Genomic DNA, 14522 nt, shown 5'->3' with positions numbered 1-14522 from the left:
TGGTCCAGGGTCCACACCTGACAACATGCAACGTCTCAGACACCATAGCCCCAGGGTATCAGAAACAGACTCAGTCATAACCACACTTTTTTGCAAGCCTGTGTCTGTGATGCAGCAGAAATGACGGTGGGGAAGACACCAGGGGGAGGAAGGGGTCACCAGGGAAATGCACAGACAAGGATGATGGAGTGAGGATGAGGGTGAGGGGTTGTGAAGTCCAGCCCCCATGCCTCTCATTAAGCCTTCTCTCCACTGTGCAGAATGTACATTTCCTAATTTTCCTAATCTGTGCAATGGTAAAAATAGTGAGGATTTTGGTGAAAATCATTTGCCCTGGGAGGTAACACTTCTTTTGGTCTACAGATGTTCTGACAGAACACTGGTCTTGATCCTAAGCAGGACCTATGGAGGGAGGTAGAGAAAGCCCTTGTGTCCCCCTGATCCCACACTGGTCCCCTTGGCTTTGCCAGGTGAGGGTCTTTCCCATCTGCCTCTCACACACCTGGGCTCCACCCACACCCTTTTCTTTTCTCTGAGCGTCCATGGGAATCCAAATTTTCAGAGACACCCTTTCTCCTGCAAATTTGTGGAGAAAGTTGAGATTCTTAAGTCTAGTTATTGGTTATTTGTTTCTTAGTTCCAGACCTGTGTGAGGACAGGTGCAGGTACAGGTGATTGGACTTGAGTCACAATGCAGTCTTCTTCACCTGGGGTGGAGGACTCAGGACCCCTCCTCAAGTTCTTTTTGTGATGAAAGGAAGCATCCTTAAAACCTATATTAGAATTCAAATGTGGAGTGAATTAGAATTTCCTTCCATCCTTCCTTCCTTCTCCCTCTTATTTCATTTTTCTCTTCACTTTTTTTTTGTCAAGGAATTCAAACCATTCTAATCCTTTGTCAGGCAATTAGTTTGCAAATATTTTCTCCCATTCTGTGGGTTTTCTCTTCACTTTTTGATTGTTTCCTATGCTAGGCAGTTTTTTAACTTAACATTATCTCATTTGTTCGTTTTTTTTGCTTTGTTTGCCTGTGTTTGTGGGGTATTTCTCAAGAAATTTTTGCCAGAACAAATGTCCTCAAGATTTATCCCCGTATTTTCTTCTAGTACTTTCATAGTCTGAGATCTTAGTTTGAAATCTTTACTCCATTTTGATTTGATTTTTGTACATGAGGAGATATAGGTTTCTAGGTTCACTCTTCTGCATAGTTTCCCCTATGCCATTTATTGAAGAGACTGTCTTTTACCCAGTGTATATTCTTGGCACCTTTGTTGAAAATGAGTTCACTGTAGGTGTGTGGATTTGTTTCTGGGTTCTCTATTCTGTTCCATTGGTCTGTTTCTGTTTTTATGCCAGTACCATGCTTTTTGTAGTTGTTCTTGTTGTTGTTGTTACTATAGCTCTGTAGTGTAATTTGAAGTCAGGTAATGTGATTCCTCCAGTTTTGTTCTTTTTGCTTAGGATGGCTTTGGCTATTCTCAGTCATTTATAATTTCATATAAATTTTAGGATTGTTTTTCTACACCTGTGAAGAATGTTATTGGTATTTTCATAAAGATTGCATTGAATCTGTAGATTACCTTTGGTAGTATGGACATTTTAACAAAATTGACTCTTCTAATCCATGAACGTGGAATATTTTTTTCCATTTTGGTGTCCTCTTCAACTTCTTCCATTCGTTTTTTAGACTTTTTCAGATATCTTTCAATTCTTTCGTTAAGTAACTTTCTGGGTACTTAATTTACTTTGTGGCTATTGTAAATAAGATAGCTTTTTAAATCCTTTTTCAGATTGTTCCTTGTTTGCATGTAGAAATGCTACTAATTTTTATATGTTGATTTTGTATCCTGCAACTTTACCAAATTTGTTTATCAGTTCTAGTAGTTTTTTGTGGAGTGGTTAGGTTTTTCCAAATATAAGATTATGTTATCTTCCTCCTTTCCAATTTGGATGCCCTTTGTTTCTTTCTCTTGTCAAATTGGTCTAGCTAAGACTTCTGGTACTATGTTGAATGACAGTGTGAAAACGGCCATCCTTGTAGTGTTTCAGAGCTTAGACAAAAGGCTTTCAGGTTTTCCTCATTGAGTATGACACTAGCTGTGGGTCTGTCATATATGGCTTATTATTTTAAGGTATGGGCCTTCCATCACGAATTTTTTTAGGGTTTTTATTGTGAAGAAATGTTGCATTTTATCAAACACTTTTTCAGTATCAATTAAAATGATCATATGGCTTTTGTTCTTCATTCTGTTGATATGAGGTATCATATTAATTGATTTGCATATGTTGAACCATCCATGCATTCCAGGAATAAATCCCATTTGGACATGATAAATGATCTTTCCTTCTTTTTTTTTTTTTTTATTGAGAAGAAGTCTCGCTCTGTCATCCAGGCTGGAGTGCAATGGTGTGATCTCAGCTCACTGCAACCTCTGCCTTCTGGGTTCAAGTTATTCTTCTGCCTCAGCCTCCCAAATAGCTGGGATTACAGGCGCTCACCACTGCGCCTGACTAATTTTGTATTTTTAGTAGAGACAGGGTTTTGCCATGTTGGTCGGGCTGGTTTCAAACCCCTGACATCAGGTAATTACTCCCCTCAGCCTCCCAAAGTGTTGGGATTACAGGCATGAGCCACCATGCCTGGTCAACCTTTCTAATGTATTGTTGAATTTGGTTTGTATGGGGCAAAGAAAGAGAGATCAGATTGTTACTGTGTCTATGTAGAAAAAGGAAGACATAAGAAACTCCATTTTTATCTGCACTAAGAAAAATTGTTCTGCTTTGAGATGCTGTTAATATGTAACCTTAGTCACAACCCTGTGCTCACCGAAACATGTGCTGTATTGAATCAAGATTTAATGGATTTAGGGCTGTGCAGGATGTGCCTTGTTAACAATTTGTTTGCAGGCAGTATGCCTGGTAAAAGTCATCACCATTCTCCATTCTCGATTAACCAGGGACACAATGCACTGCAGAAGGCCGCAGGGACCTCTGCCCAAGAAAGCCTGGGTATTGTCCAGGTTTCACCCAACTGAGACAGCCTGAGATATGGCCTCATGGGAAGGGAAAGACCTTACAGTCCCCCAGCCTGACACCTGTAAATGGTCTGTGCTGAGGGAGATTAGTGAAAGAGGAAGGCCTCTTTGCAGTTGAGATAAGAGGAAAGCATCTGTCTCCTGCTCGTCGCTGGGAATGCAATGTCTCAGTGTAAAACCTGACCATACATTCTATTTACTAAGATAGGAGAAAACCGCCCTATGGCTGGAGGTGAGACATGCTGGCAGCAATACTGCTCTGCTACTCTTTACTGCTCTGAGATGTTTGTGTAAAGTTAAACATAAATCTGGCCTACGTGCACATCCAGGCACAGCACCTTTCATTAAACTTATTTATGACACAGATTCCTTTGCTCATATGTTTTCCTGCTGATTTGGTAATGGTTTCCCTACCATTACCCTATAGTCCTGCCACATCTCCCTCACCAAGATTGTAGAGATAGTGACCAATAAATACTGAGGGAACTCAGAGACCAGTGCTGGTGCAGGTCTCACTTGCTGAGTGCTGGTCCCCTGGGCCCACTTTTCTTCCTCTATACTTTGTCTCTGTGTCTTATTTCCTTTTCTCAGTCTCTCATCTCCACCTTGCGAGAAATACCCACAGGTGTGAAGGGGCAGGCCCCCTTCAGGTTTGCTAGTGTTTTGTTTAGGATTTTTGCATCAATATTTATTAGAGATATTGGCCTATGGCCTATGGCCTATGGTTTCTCTTCCTTTTTTGGTGGGTTTTTGTGTGGTTTTGATATCAAGATAATGCTGGCCTCTTTTAATGAGTTCAGTAATAGTCCCTCCTCTGTTTTTCTGAATAGTATCGGTAAGATTGGCATTAATTTTTTCTTAAATGTTCAGTAGAATTCAGCAGTGAAGGCATCAGGTCTTGGGCTTTTCTTTATGAGGAGACTTTATTGTGGCTTCTATTTTATTATTTATTATTGGACTGTTCAGGCTTTTAATTTCTTCCAGGTTCAATATCGATAGGTTGTAAGTATCCAGGAATTTGTTCATTTCATCTAGATTTTCCAATTTATTGGTGTATAGTTGCTCAGAGTAGCCACTAATAATTTTTTGAATTTCTGTGGTATCAGTTGTAATGTGTCTTTTTTTCATTTCTGATTTTATTTATCTATATCTTCTCTACTTTTTTCTTAGTCTGGCTAAGGTTTGCTAATTTTGTTTAAATTATCAGAAAAAACACTTTTTATTAATTTCATTTGTATCTGCTCTGATCTTTATTATTTATTTTCTTCTACTAATTTTAAGTTTGGTTTGCTCTTGCTTATCTAATTCTTTAAGATGCATCATTATATTGTTTATTTGAAGCTTTTCTCTTTTTTGATGTGGGGACTTAGAGCTATAAAATTCCGTCTTTATACTGCCCTGGCTGTATCCCATACATTTTGGTATGTTATGTTTTCATTATCATTTGTTTCAAGAAAACTTTTAATTTTCTTCTTAATTTCTTCATTGACCCACTGGTCATTCAGGTACATACTGTTTAATTTCTATGTATTTGGATAGTTTCCAAAACTCCTCTTGCTACCAATTTCTTGTTTTATTCCATTGTGGTCAAAGAAGTGGCTTGATATTATTTCAATTTTTTTTTTTTTTTGAGATGGAGTCTTGCTCTGTTGCCCAGGCTGCAGTGCAGTGGCGCCATCTCTGCTCACTGCAAGCTCCACCTCCCAGGTTCACACCATTCTCCTGCCTCAGCCTCCCGAGTAGCTGGGACTACAGGTGCCCACCACCACGCCCAGGCTAATTTTTTGTATTTTTAGTAGAGACGGGGTTTCACTGTGTTAGCCAGGATGGTCTTGATCTCCTGACCTCGTGATCCACTGGCCTCAGCCTCCCAAAGTGCTGGGATTACATATTTCAATTTTTTTTTAATGTTTCAAGACTGGTTTCATGACAACATATGGTCTATCTTTGAGAATGATCTATGTGCTGAGGACAACAGTGTGTATTCTGCAGCTAAACTGTGCTGGGGAAGAGGTCACCGTGAGACAGGAGACACTTCTCAGTGCCCAGGAAACACTTCCTGTTCTCCGTTCCCGTGACACAACATCTCACACCCACCACCCATACTACTCTTTCTGCTGTCACTACAAAGAGGTACTGAGTGAAGCCTGGACTCTATTCCCAGTTCCTTTTTGTCCACTTGCCTCTGCACATTTAGGTGCTAGGCTGAAGGTGAGCCCCTGATAAGGTCAGTGTCACCTTCTAAAATTCCACAAAAAATGAATTCCATACAGGTGATGAGGCCTATGACCTATTATCAAAATAGAAAAGTGAACAACACTGAGAGCAGAAAGGTGTAAGGAGGAGAGTGGACCTAAACTGAACCCAAGAGTGTCCAGTGAGAGAGGAGGGAATTTCATTCCATATGGGAATGAAACGTGGAAGAAAGGAATGAGGAGTAGCACTGGCTGTGTGTTGGCACCTCAGGTATCTGGGTGTTAGGTTGAATGCGGGTAGGAGAGGAGCATACCCATGAGTAAGGTTGGAGGTGAACAAACTGCGGCAATGAACATGGGGAGAGAGGATGAGGATGATCAAAATGATGCCTGACTTGGGCCGTGTGGAAAAAGAGGCTATTTGACAGGACTTTACTCAATCTGCCTTCATTAGTTTGTAGGTAACATGTTGTTTCTGCTAAGTGGTTCTCCAGGTTTGCTATGAAGCAGGTGATCTCAGCTCTTATAGAGGGAAAAGGACTGTCATTCTGCCATCTTGGTAGAAACTCCAAGAAGGGAAGAGTGGAGGGTGAAGCCGATTGTTGCTGAGAACCAGTCCTAGAGAAAATGATAAATAGGTGTCTGGCTGGCTTCAGCAATGATGTGGCCCAGTGACTGCTGTCTATTTTCTTCTTCCTCTCTTCAATTCATTCTCCTTTTAAAAATCTTCTTGTCCTTTTGATGTAAAATTCTTTTTCTTTTCTTTTTCAAATAATGCTTAAATCAGGTGTGTGAATTGCATTTTTCCTATGTGTGTTTCAGTATTGGGTGTTTGATGTGTTAAGGGCCAATAATTTGTCTCCTTAGTGCACACATTGAGAGAAAGTGCACCTGACAATGTGTAGTCACCTCATGGACACCAGGTCCTGATTGGATGATAAGATGCGGGACTTCACTCTGAGCCTCTTCCTACAATGGTATTGCTTTCTGGAGTTGTTTCCAGGGTTACTTCTCTTGGTATGTGAACAGTCTGTAAGCCAGTGGAGACTCAGTGGAACTTGGTTCCAAAAAGGACCCCATCATGACCAATAATCAAAACAACCACAACCTGTGGAGGCCCCTCCCCATGATTTGGGCTGTCTGTACTCACCTTAATCAATATAATGTCATAGAAAAGTGACACTCTCCAATTTTCAAAGCTAAGTTCTATGATGCCTGGCAGCTTCTTCTTTGGTTTCTTGAAAGTCCTTCTTTGGTGGAAGACAGTAATCATTGATTAAGTCCAACAACTATGAGGCCTTCATGATTTCAGAAAATTCAAGACACTAATGTGTAGGGGAGGTAGGGAAGGAGACAACCAGCCAGCCCCCAGGTGTTCACTCACCCTTAGTGTTGAGTCAAACATAAGTGAAGAATCCTCTGGGATCCCAGCCTGTAGGTCCTTCAGAAAACGTGACTCCCACACACATGCGTGTCTACCACCCGCATGAGTCCAGTAAACCTGCAAAGCAGGGAGACATCAGAATAAATGGTTGCTTTATGTGAATATGTGTTGGGGAGGTTTCCGGTTCTGCAATGCCAACGGTAGCAGCAGCAAAGCAGGGTCGGCTCACTGTGTCCATGTGAATGAATTGTGTTCATTCCACCAATAAATGACATATTTTCCGATCTAAAACTATGACCATTTATTTCCAAAGAGGAGATCCAGGATTCTGCCCACATAAAATAGAAAAATCTGGCAGTTCTTTTGAACATGACAAAGGGATTTTTTGAGGGAAATTATTGAACTCTTGTGGTTCTCTAACTATGGCTTGGATTGAAATTTTCAGGTATAGGCCAAGCACAGGGGCTCACACTTGTAATGCCAGCAATTTGGTGGGCCGAGGTTGCTGGATTGCTTGACTTCAGGAGTTCGACACCAGCCTGGGCAACATGGCAAAACCCCATCTCTACAAAAAAAACATGCAGAAATTAGCTGGCCATGGTGGTGCTCACCTGTGGTCTCACCTACTTGGGGGGCTGAGGCAGGAGGAATTTTTGAGCCCAGGGTGTCGAGGCTGCAGTGAGCCTTAATGGTGCCACTGCAGTCCAGCCTGAATGACAGAGCAAGAACTTGTCTCAAAGAACAACAACAAAACAAAATTTCAGGTGCAAACTTGGTCAGTATTTCCTCGGCTTTTTCAGTGCTTCCTGCACAACGCCAGACACAGTATTAAGACACAGGAAACATCCTTAGAATGAGTGCAAGAATGAAGACATTTCATATGACTTTCCTCAAATTACAAAGCTTCTCCCCAAAATCAATTATGCCTGTGAGGTTGTAAACAGCTACCCAACATTTCACTGGAGTGAGTCATCTACAATGAAGGAGGAATTTTGGTTCAGAGTGTCTGACGTAAAGTACGGGCTGACATAAAAGGATGTCTTCGTTATGTAATCTCAGACATCACAGTGGCCTTGTGTCACTTGTGTCCTTGTGCCACTTTGTCTTTTTCTCCATGAAAGTAAGAACCAGATTCTGGAAAATTTGGTGAAGTTTTAATGACCAAGTGTAGAGGAAGGGGTGAGGAGTGATCGTTCTGTTAGCAGGCTCTGGAAATGCCATGGTCGCACAGAAACAGGGATTCTTTAACCATGAGGAATGTGATCATTTCATCAATTACAGACAGACACTGAGGTCAGGGAGACATCTCTCCACACTTGCACCATCTTCACATAAGATGGTGGGAGTCGGTGGGGAAAGCTGTAAGCATTTTGGCCATTTACCATTACCTACAAAAGAAAAAAATGCATCAGAAATACAATATGCCATCAAACAAGTTTTCAGCATCATCTCACTCAGCCCTAGTGCCTACAGCATCCAACCAGAAATCCCCTAATTATACATCAGAACCCAGTAGACACACTTCTCTCTGCAGATTACCCTTGTGCCTACTTCAGACAGTTGCTCATTTATTTCCAATGCTTCCTCTCATTCCTCCAAGGAGGTTTTACCACCCTGTGTATCACAGAACCTGTTTGCTCAGCCTCTCCTCTCACCTGGAAGATCCCTATGGCCTGGGACTGTCTCTCATGAACTTCAATCCTTGCGTCTTGCACAGGGCCTGCCATGGGGTTAGTGCTGGACAGTGTTCATTGAATGCATACATTTCAGTTCCATGAACTATAACTCCCATTCACTATGACTGCTGATGGCCCAGTTTCTCCTTGGAGTTGCCCAGAGATGTAATGGTGGTGGCAAAGAAGGAAATTCAAATGTTTTCAGAGAGGAGGAACAAAACAGGTGTTGCAAAACGTAGGATATTATTCTGAACGGCTGAAAGGCATAAGAAAAGGATCTCCTACTTAAATATGGACGAAATGTTACTCTTTGCATCTGCCCATTTGAAAAGATTGGGAAGAAGGCCAGGCGCAGTGGCTCATGCCTGTAATCTCAGCACTTTGGGAGGCCAAGGCAGATGGATCACAAGGTCAGGAGGTCAAGACCAGCCTGACCAATATGGTGAAACCCCGTCTCTACTAAAACTACAAAAAAAAAATTAGCCAGGCGTGGTGGGTGTGCACCTGTATTCCCAGCTACTTAGGAGGCTGAGGCAGGAGAATCGCTTGAACCTGGGAGGTGGAGGTTACAGTTAGCTGAGATCGTGCCACTGCACTCCAGCCTGGGCGACAGAGCTAGACTCCATCTCCAGAAAAAAAAAGAAGAAGAAGAAGAAGAAAAGGTTAGAAAGTTTGGAAATACTATTTATTTATTACTAAAGCTATAGAGACAGTCACCTTTTAGGTGTTAAGTTATGAAATTTAAAATGCACACAATTTTGAAGGAGTTATTCCATTTTTTGTAATTACCCTCCAATATGGAAATTGGGAGGTTCATTATGACAAAGGGTACGTTAAAAAGCTTTATTTGTGAGCGCAAAATACTGGAACCAGCCTAATGTCCATCAAAAGGATCAAGTTCAATAATTTTGGGTAACCCTGCTACAGGAATATTGTATGATGTTGAAAAACTGAGGCGGCACCATGGATGGATGATTGCTCCAACATGTAGCGTTTGACAACAAATCCACCCCAGTTTCTAAAGTGTAATGTGTAGAGAAACTTAAAACAGCATTGGTTTAAAAAGAAATGAAACCACACATCTGTATGCTTCCATAAGCATACATTAGCTCTGGAATTTGTGTAGAGAAGCTAGTAATACTGCTGTTCTGGGGGTAGGATTGGGGTTCAGTACTGAGAGAAAGACTACATTTTGGACTGATAAAATAACCTTATTCATATGCATGTTTTATCCATTTGGCTGAATGACTATGTAAGTAACAGCATACATGGGAATGAGAACTATGGGTGAAGACAGACAAGATTCTCCACCTTGGGGAAAATGGCAGGTGAGCCCACCTTGACCCTGGGTCAGATCTGGAAGAAGAACTGAGGATGGCAGTGCAAGCAGAGAGTGCTCTGTGAGGAAAAGCCTGGGGCAGGAGTAGTTATGGGAGATCGGCTCCGAGGAACTGGTGGGGTCAGCTCAGGAAGAGCTGCCTCCTGTTCTGGGAGCCCATGGAGGGTGGGTGCTGGGAGCTCCTGGGGGGCTCACCTGGTACTCATCGGCCAGCACGGAGATGCACAGGTTAAATGGTTTACCATCCTGAAAGGGCATATTGTGGCATGTCACCTCATACTGCCAAGCCCCATTCACGCGGCTGTTCATGACCACCCAATGACCAAAGTACACTCGGAAATGGAAGGCGATGTCTGAGTCTTCCTTCATCTCGGTATGGAAATCCACCTGCAGCTGTGGGTCCATGCTGAGGGTAAAGCACACGGTGTGTTGGGCAGGTCTCTCCCTTGTGGGGCACACACTGGACACACACAAATCCCTTCCCCCCTTTCCCCAGAGCAGACACAGGCCTTCCTGGTGATACTGCCAGTCTTGTCCCTGTGGGGCTGCTTCAGCCCCTCCTGCCCTTAAGAGCTCCCTCATCCCAAGATGTAAACTCAGCCACAGTCACTGACCTAGGCCTATGAGTTGTCAATTTCCTGAACATTCTATGCCTCTTGATAAAGAGCCACAGTCCCAATGCCCTGAGTGTCCTCCTCCCCTAGGCCCCATGACTAGCTCACAGTGCGGCCACTGCAGGTTTCATGCCAGGTGTTGCAGGGTCTCCAGGACCTGCACCTGCATGGTGCTGCCATCCTGCCAACTAGACATTTTCACATCACTCACACAGGAGGTCAGCCCTTTAGCAAATGTTCTTTCGTCTCCTCCCCCTGCCATGGACCATGGAGTACTCACACGAAAGGGATGATCGGTGTCCCTGTGATTATCACACAAGAACCAGTAGACAAGGACACAGGCCGTGTGTGTGGTACCTGCCAGGGGATTGAAAGTGGGTGGGAGGGGCAGGACCAGGTGTGGCCTCCCCCCCGTAACAGATTCCTATGGTGCAGGAGGCTAGAGGTCAAAGGGCAAACTGTGAGCCTCCTCCCTCCCACCGTAGCGGTCAGGGCGGCATATTCCTGAAGAAATTAGTGACCCATACATGAGAGCAATGGTTCAGGATCCATGCTGCCTTGGTTCCAGTCCTCATTCTGCCTCTTACTAGCAGTGCAATCTTAGATCCATTACTTGAACGCTCCCTGCCTCAGTTTCCCCAGGACAAGGAGGATAAGCAGAAATTTCTGCTTTGTAGGGTTTTTCCAGTAATATATGAATTAATATATGTGAAAGTTTTGCCCTAATCTCTGCCATGCATGAAGCCTGTTGGGGGTTACCCATTAGAACAGGGAGGTTGCTTCTGGAACACCGACCTGTGATTATTTTCAACACTGAAGCTGTGAAAACAAGATGTGAGGATGTAAGAGTAGAGAGATTCACTCCAGTGAGAAACAACACTTGTTGAAAGAGAGAGAGAAATGCTAAAAGAACTGGAAACCCCCGTGTGCATCACAATCATCAAGGGCCATGGACGTCCTTTCCAGAAGGGGACACCTTGCTGGCAGCACAGCCCCAGTACCTGCACACATGAAGAGTGTGGGCCAGGGAAGTCATTGGAGGTAATCTAAATATTGTTTGATTTTCATTTCTCTGTTTGGTGTTGGGGTTTGGGGTCTTTTTGATACAGGATCTTACTCTGTTGCCCAGCCTGGATTGCAGTGGCATGGTCACAGCTCACTGTGGCCTCAAACTCCTGGACTCAAGTGATCCGCCTGCCAAAACCTCCTGAGTAGTTGTGAATGAAGGTGCACACCAACATGCTTGGATAATCTTTAAATTCTGGGTACAGACAGGGTCTCACTACGTTGCCCAGGCTGGTCTGAAACTCCTCACCTTAAGCGATCCTTCCACCTTGGCCTCCCAAACCACTGGGATCACAGGCATGAGCCACAAACCCTGGCAAGTTATTGATTAATATGCACTGTAAGCTCTGTATGAACTAAGAATAAACTGATTCCTTCTCTATTTTGGGCGACTCAGTCTCCGAACCCACATCCCCCAAAGGCCTTCCCTAGTGAGCCAGGATCTGCTCACCCTCTTCTCCCACAATGGGATGGACAGGCTGGGAGACAGAGAGACCTGAGGCTGGAGGCAGGAGCAGATGGCCTTTCTGGACAGACCCCACCTGAGGAACCATCGGCCCCATAGTCTGTGTTCCTTTTCCCCACTCTGCTTGGGAGGAGGCACCTGAGGATTCACGCATTCTGCTCAGAGATGACTCCTCCATAACTCATGGCTCACAACAGGCGCACCAGTTCTGCCACCCACACTGTTCACACATGGGACACACACTGACACATGGGAAGTGCCCAGCTGCTTCATCAGAGGCGCTGCTGTGTTGGGAGGAAACTTTACATGCACAGAAGGCCCCTTGCATGCTCCCAGTTCAACACCCAGTCACATCCCAGCACACACTCACCCATAGTCTCACAGAGCCATGCCACTCACTGAGTCTCACACACCTGCTCACTGTGCATATAAAGATGCTCACACACTGGTCCAGCTGTGCTCACACACACACTCACATCACAGTCAAGAAGACAAAACGCAGTTACACCCTTACACTCAGGCACACACCCGCCCACCCTGGTGGGCTGTTCACCTCCCACCTAAAGTCACATCATCTCAGCAGAGGTTACTCTCATCAGACACCACCATGCACTCACAGACGGTTACACTGGTTCAGAGTCCACACCCCACACTCCACCAGCATCTCAGATATCATAGCCGCACGGTTTCTCTTTCACACACCCACAACTCTCAGTAAAGTGTTCACAAGAGAAACTCTCATACTTTCGTCTTGTGAAATCACCCCTGATTCTTTCTTGGTTTATGTGAATTGAGTTTATTAAAGGCTGTGTCTTTTGACTTACTTTTAGTGATGACATTGTTGTCTCCCTCTGTGTAGTTCTTCAGAATAGTATCTGGTCTTCTGTGTGAGTCTCTGATTTGCAGCACTTAAATAGTCCCTCTTGGCCCTGCCCTCTGGCTTTATTTCTTTCTCTGAACCCCTGCCAGGAAGATTTCTCAGCAGCGTGAGTAGGGGTGGCAGAAATAGACTCAGTTTCAGTTTTCAGGCCTGTGACTGTGCTGCAGCAGAAACGACACGGAGGGTCACACCAAGGGGCAGGGAATCGCCAGGGAAGGCACAGATGAGGATGATGGAGTGAGGGTGGGAAGTTGTGCACTTCAGCCTCCATGCTTCTCATGAAGCCATGTCATTGTGTGCCCTGGTCAAAGGGTTTGCCTTGCATCCATCTCTGACCAAGATTGACACTCTGCAAAGTACTGACTGCCTTGTCCACTATTTGAGCCCACAGCTCCTCCTCTATGACATGACTTTTCCCATTCTAAGTCAGAAAGGAGGATGGTAGAAGGGCATGGTCATCTATGAGCACTCTTTAAATCAACAAATTAGCCTTTGCTAAGTCTGGGTCTCAACATTTCCAGAAATGGGATGGTTCATCCCCCATTCCTGAACTGAGGGCAGAGAGCATATGAATTTCCCTCTTCTTTTTCCTGGTCGAGCGGAGGCACCTGTGCACTTTGGAGTCCAAATAGGGGAAGGGAGCCCCCATGAGGTCCCTACTCTGTTTCAGTGTAGAGAGCGCAGTTCCCACTCAGCCCTGCTCAGCTCAGACACAGCCCCTTCCACGCTGCTACTCACTCAGTTATTCACGCCCGAAATCCCGTCTCAGTCCAGAAATCTCTATGCTGTCCACTATCCTCCTCTTTTCCTCACACACTTTCTCACACCTATAGAAAGTTCTCCTAGTCTCTATAGGTTTCTACTTTCCTAAAGCAACCAGGGACACAGAGATTCTTATTTCCTGCCAGTTCACCTAGGGCAGGCAAGACACTCTGTATCTACTCTCAGTGTCTTCATAGCTGTTTCCTCAAGCAGCAAATATTGTTCCTGTGATTTGTGTCTGAAATACTAACTAGAGAGTATGCATCAGACTCAAGCAGTGAATTACAAAATCAGTTTCCTCTCCACGTGGGATTTCCTGGAAATCTATTGATGTCTTCATAAGTAGAAGTGAAAGGGGAATCAAATCCTGTTTTTAAGTCGGTTCCAAGTTCAGCTGGAATTATGTGAAAGTGAAAGCACTGGAAGCACCTGGCACTGCCCAGTTGGCCCCACATCCATCCTCTGCTTATTTGCTCAGTGTCAGGTTGCAGAAGTGGAATGGACACACTCAGCAAATGGCAGAATCCCACATTGGTTGTCTGACCTGTGCAGGGAGGAATGTGATAGTAGGAAAGGGCAATGGAAGCCATTAGAGCTGCTTCCACCTACAAAAATAGGAAAGCAAAAGCAACACCGCATTCTTGGAGGGCCTGCACAGAGTAGTACAGTCATGAGGGACTTTAAGATACAAGGGTGGCGTTTTTTAGATGGAGTCTTGCTCTGTTGCCCAGGCTGGAGTGCAGTGGTGTGATCTCGGCTCACTGCAAGCTCTGCCTCCTGGGTTCACGCCATTCTCCTGCCTCAGCCTCCCGAGTAGCTGGGACTACAGGCACCCGCCACCATGCCCCGCTAATTTTTTGTATTTTTAGTAAAGACGGGGTTTCACCGTGTTAGCCAGGAACCTGACCTCGTGATCCACCCTCCTCGGCCTCCCAGAGTGCTGGGATTAAAGGTGTGAGCCACCATGCCTGGCCCATATTTGGCAGTTTTATCTCTTAAATTTGGGTTGTTGATCCATTTTGAGTTAATTTCTGTATATAGTATAAGGTGAGGGTCCAGATTCATTCTTTTACATGTGGATATTCAGTACAAAAAACCTCCATGAC

General features: G+C 44.4%; 1 pseudogene across 1 annotated transcript, besides 1 other annotated feature; it reads right to left on the bottom strand.

The window, feature by feature from the left end:
* Positions 1-5659: 5659 nt before the first annotated feature.
* Positions 5660-12659, bottom strand: LGALS17A (galectin 14 pseudogene; annotated as a pseudogene). The gene is made up of 8 exons (NR_034156.1): positions 12599-12659; positions 10524-10600; positions 9825-10035; positions 8270-8546; positions 7226-7323; positions 6615-6731; positions 6381-6480; positions 5660-5848 (listed from the first exon to the last, which is right to left on the bottom strand). The product of NR_034156.1 is annotated as a galectin 14 pseudogene (transcript).
* Positions 13810-14104: an enhancer, noted in NCBI's record as "tiled region #10070; HepG2 Activating DNase matched - State 4:PromP". NCBI's record gives its function as "activates a minimal TATA promoter and a strong SV40 promoter by Sharpr-MPRA in HepG2 cells {active_cell/tissue: HepG2}" and the evidence as "EXISTENCE:reporter gene assay evidence [ECO:0000049][PMID:27701403]".

The sequence above is a fragment of the Homo sapiens genome, chromosome 19, assembly GCF_000001405.40.
Source record: "Homo sapiens chromosome 19, GRCh38.p14 Primary Assembly".
Taxonomy (NCBI): domain Eukaryota; kingdom Metazoa; phylum Chordata; class Mammalia; order Primates; family Hominidae; genus Homo; species Homo sapiens.
This window is presented reverse-complemented; position numbering and strand designations above follow the sequence as displayed.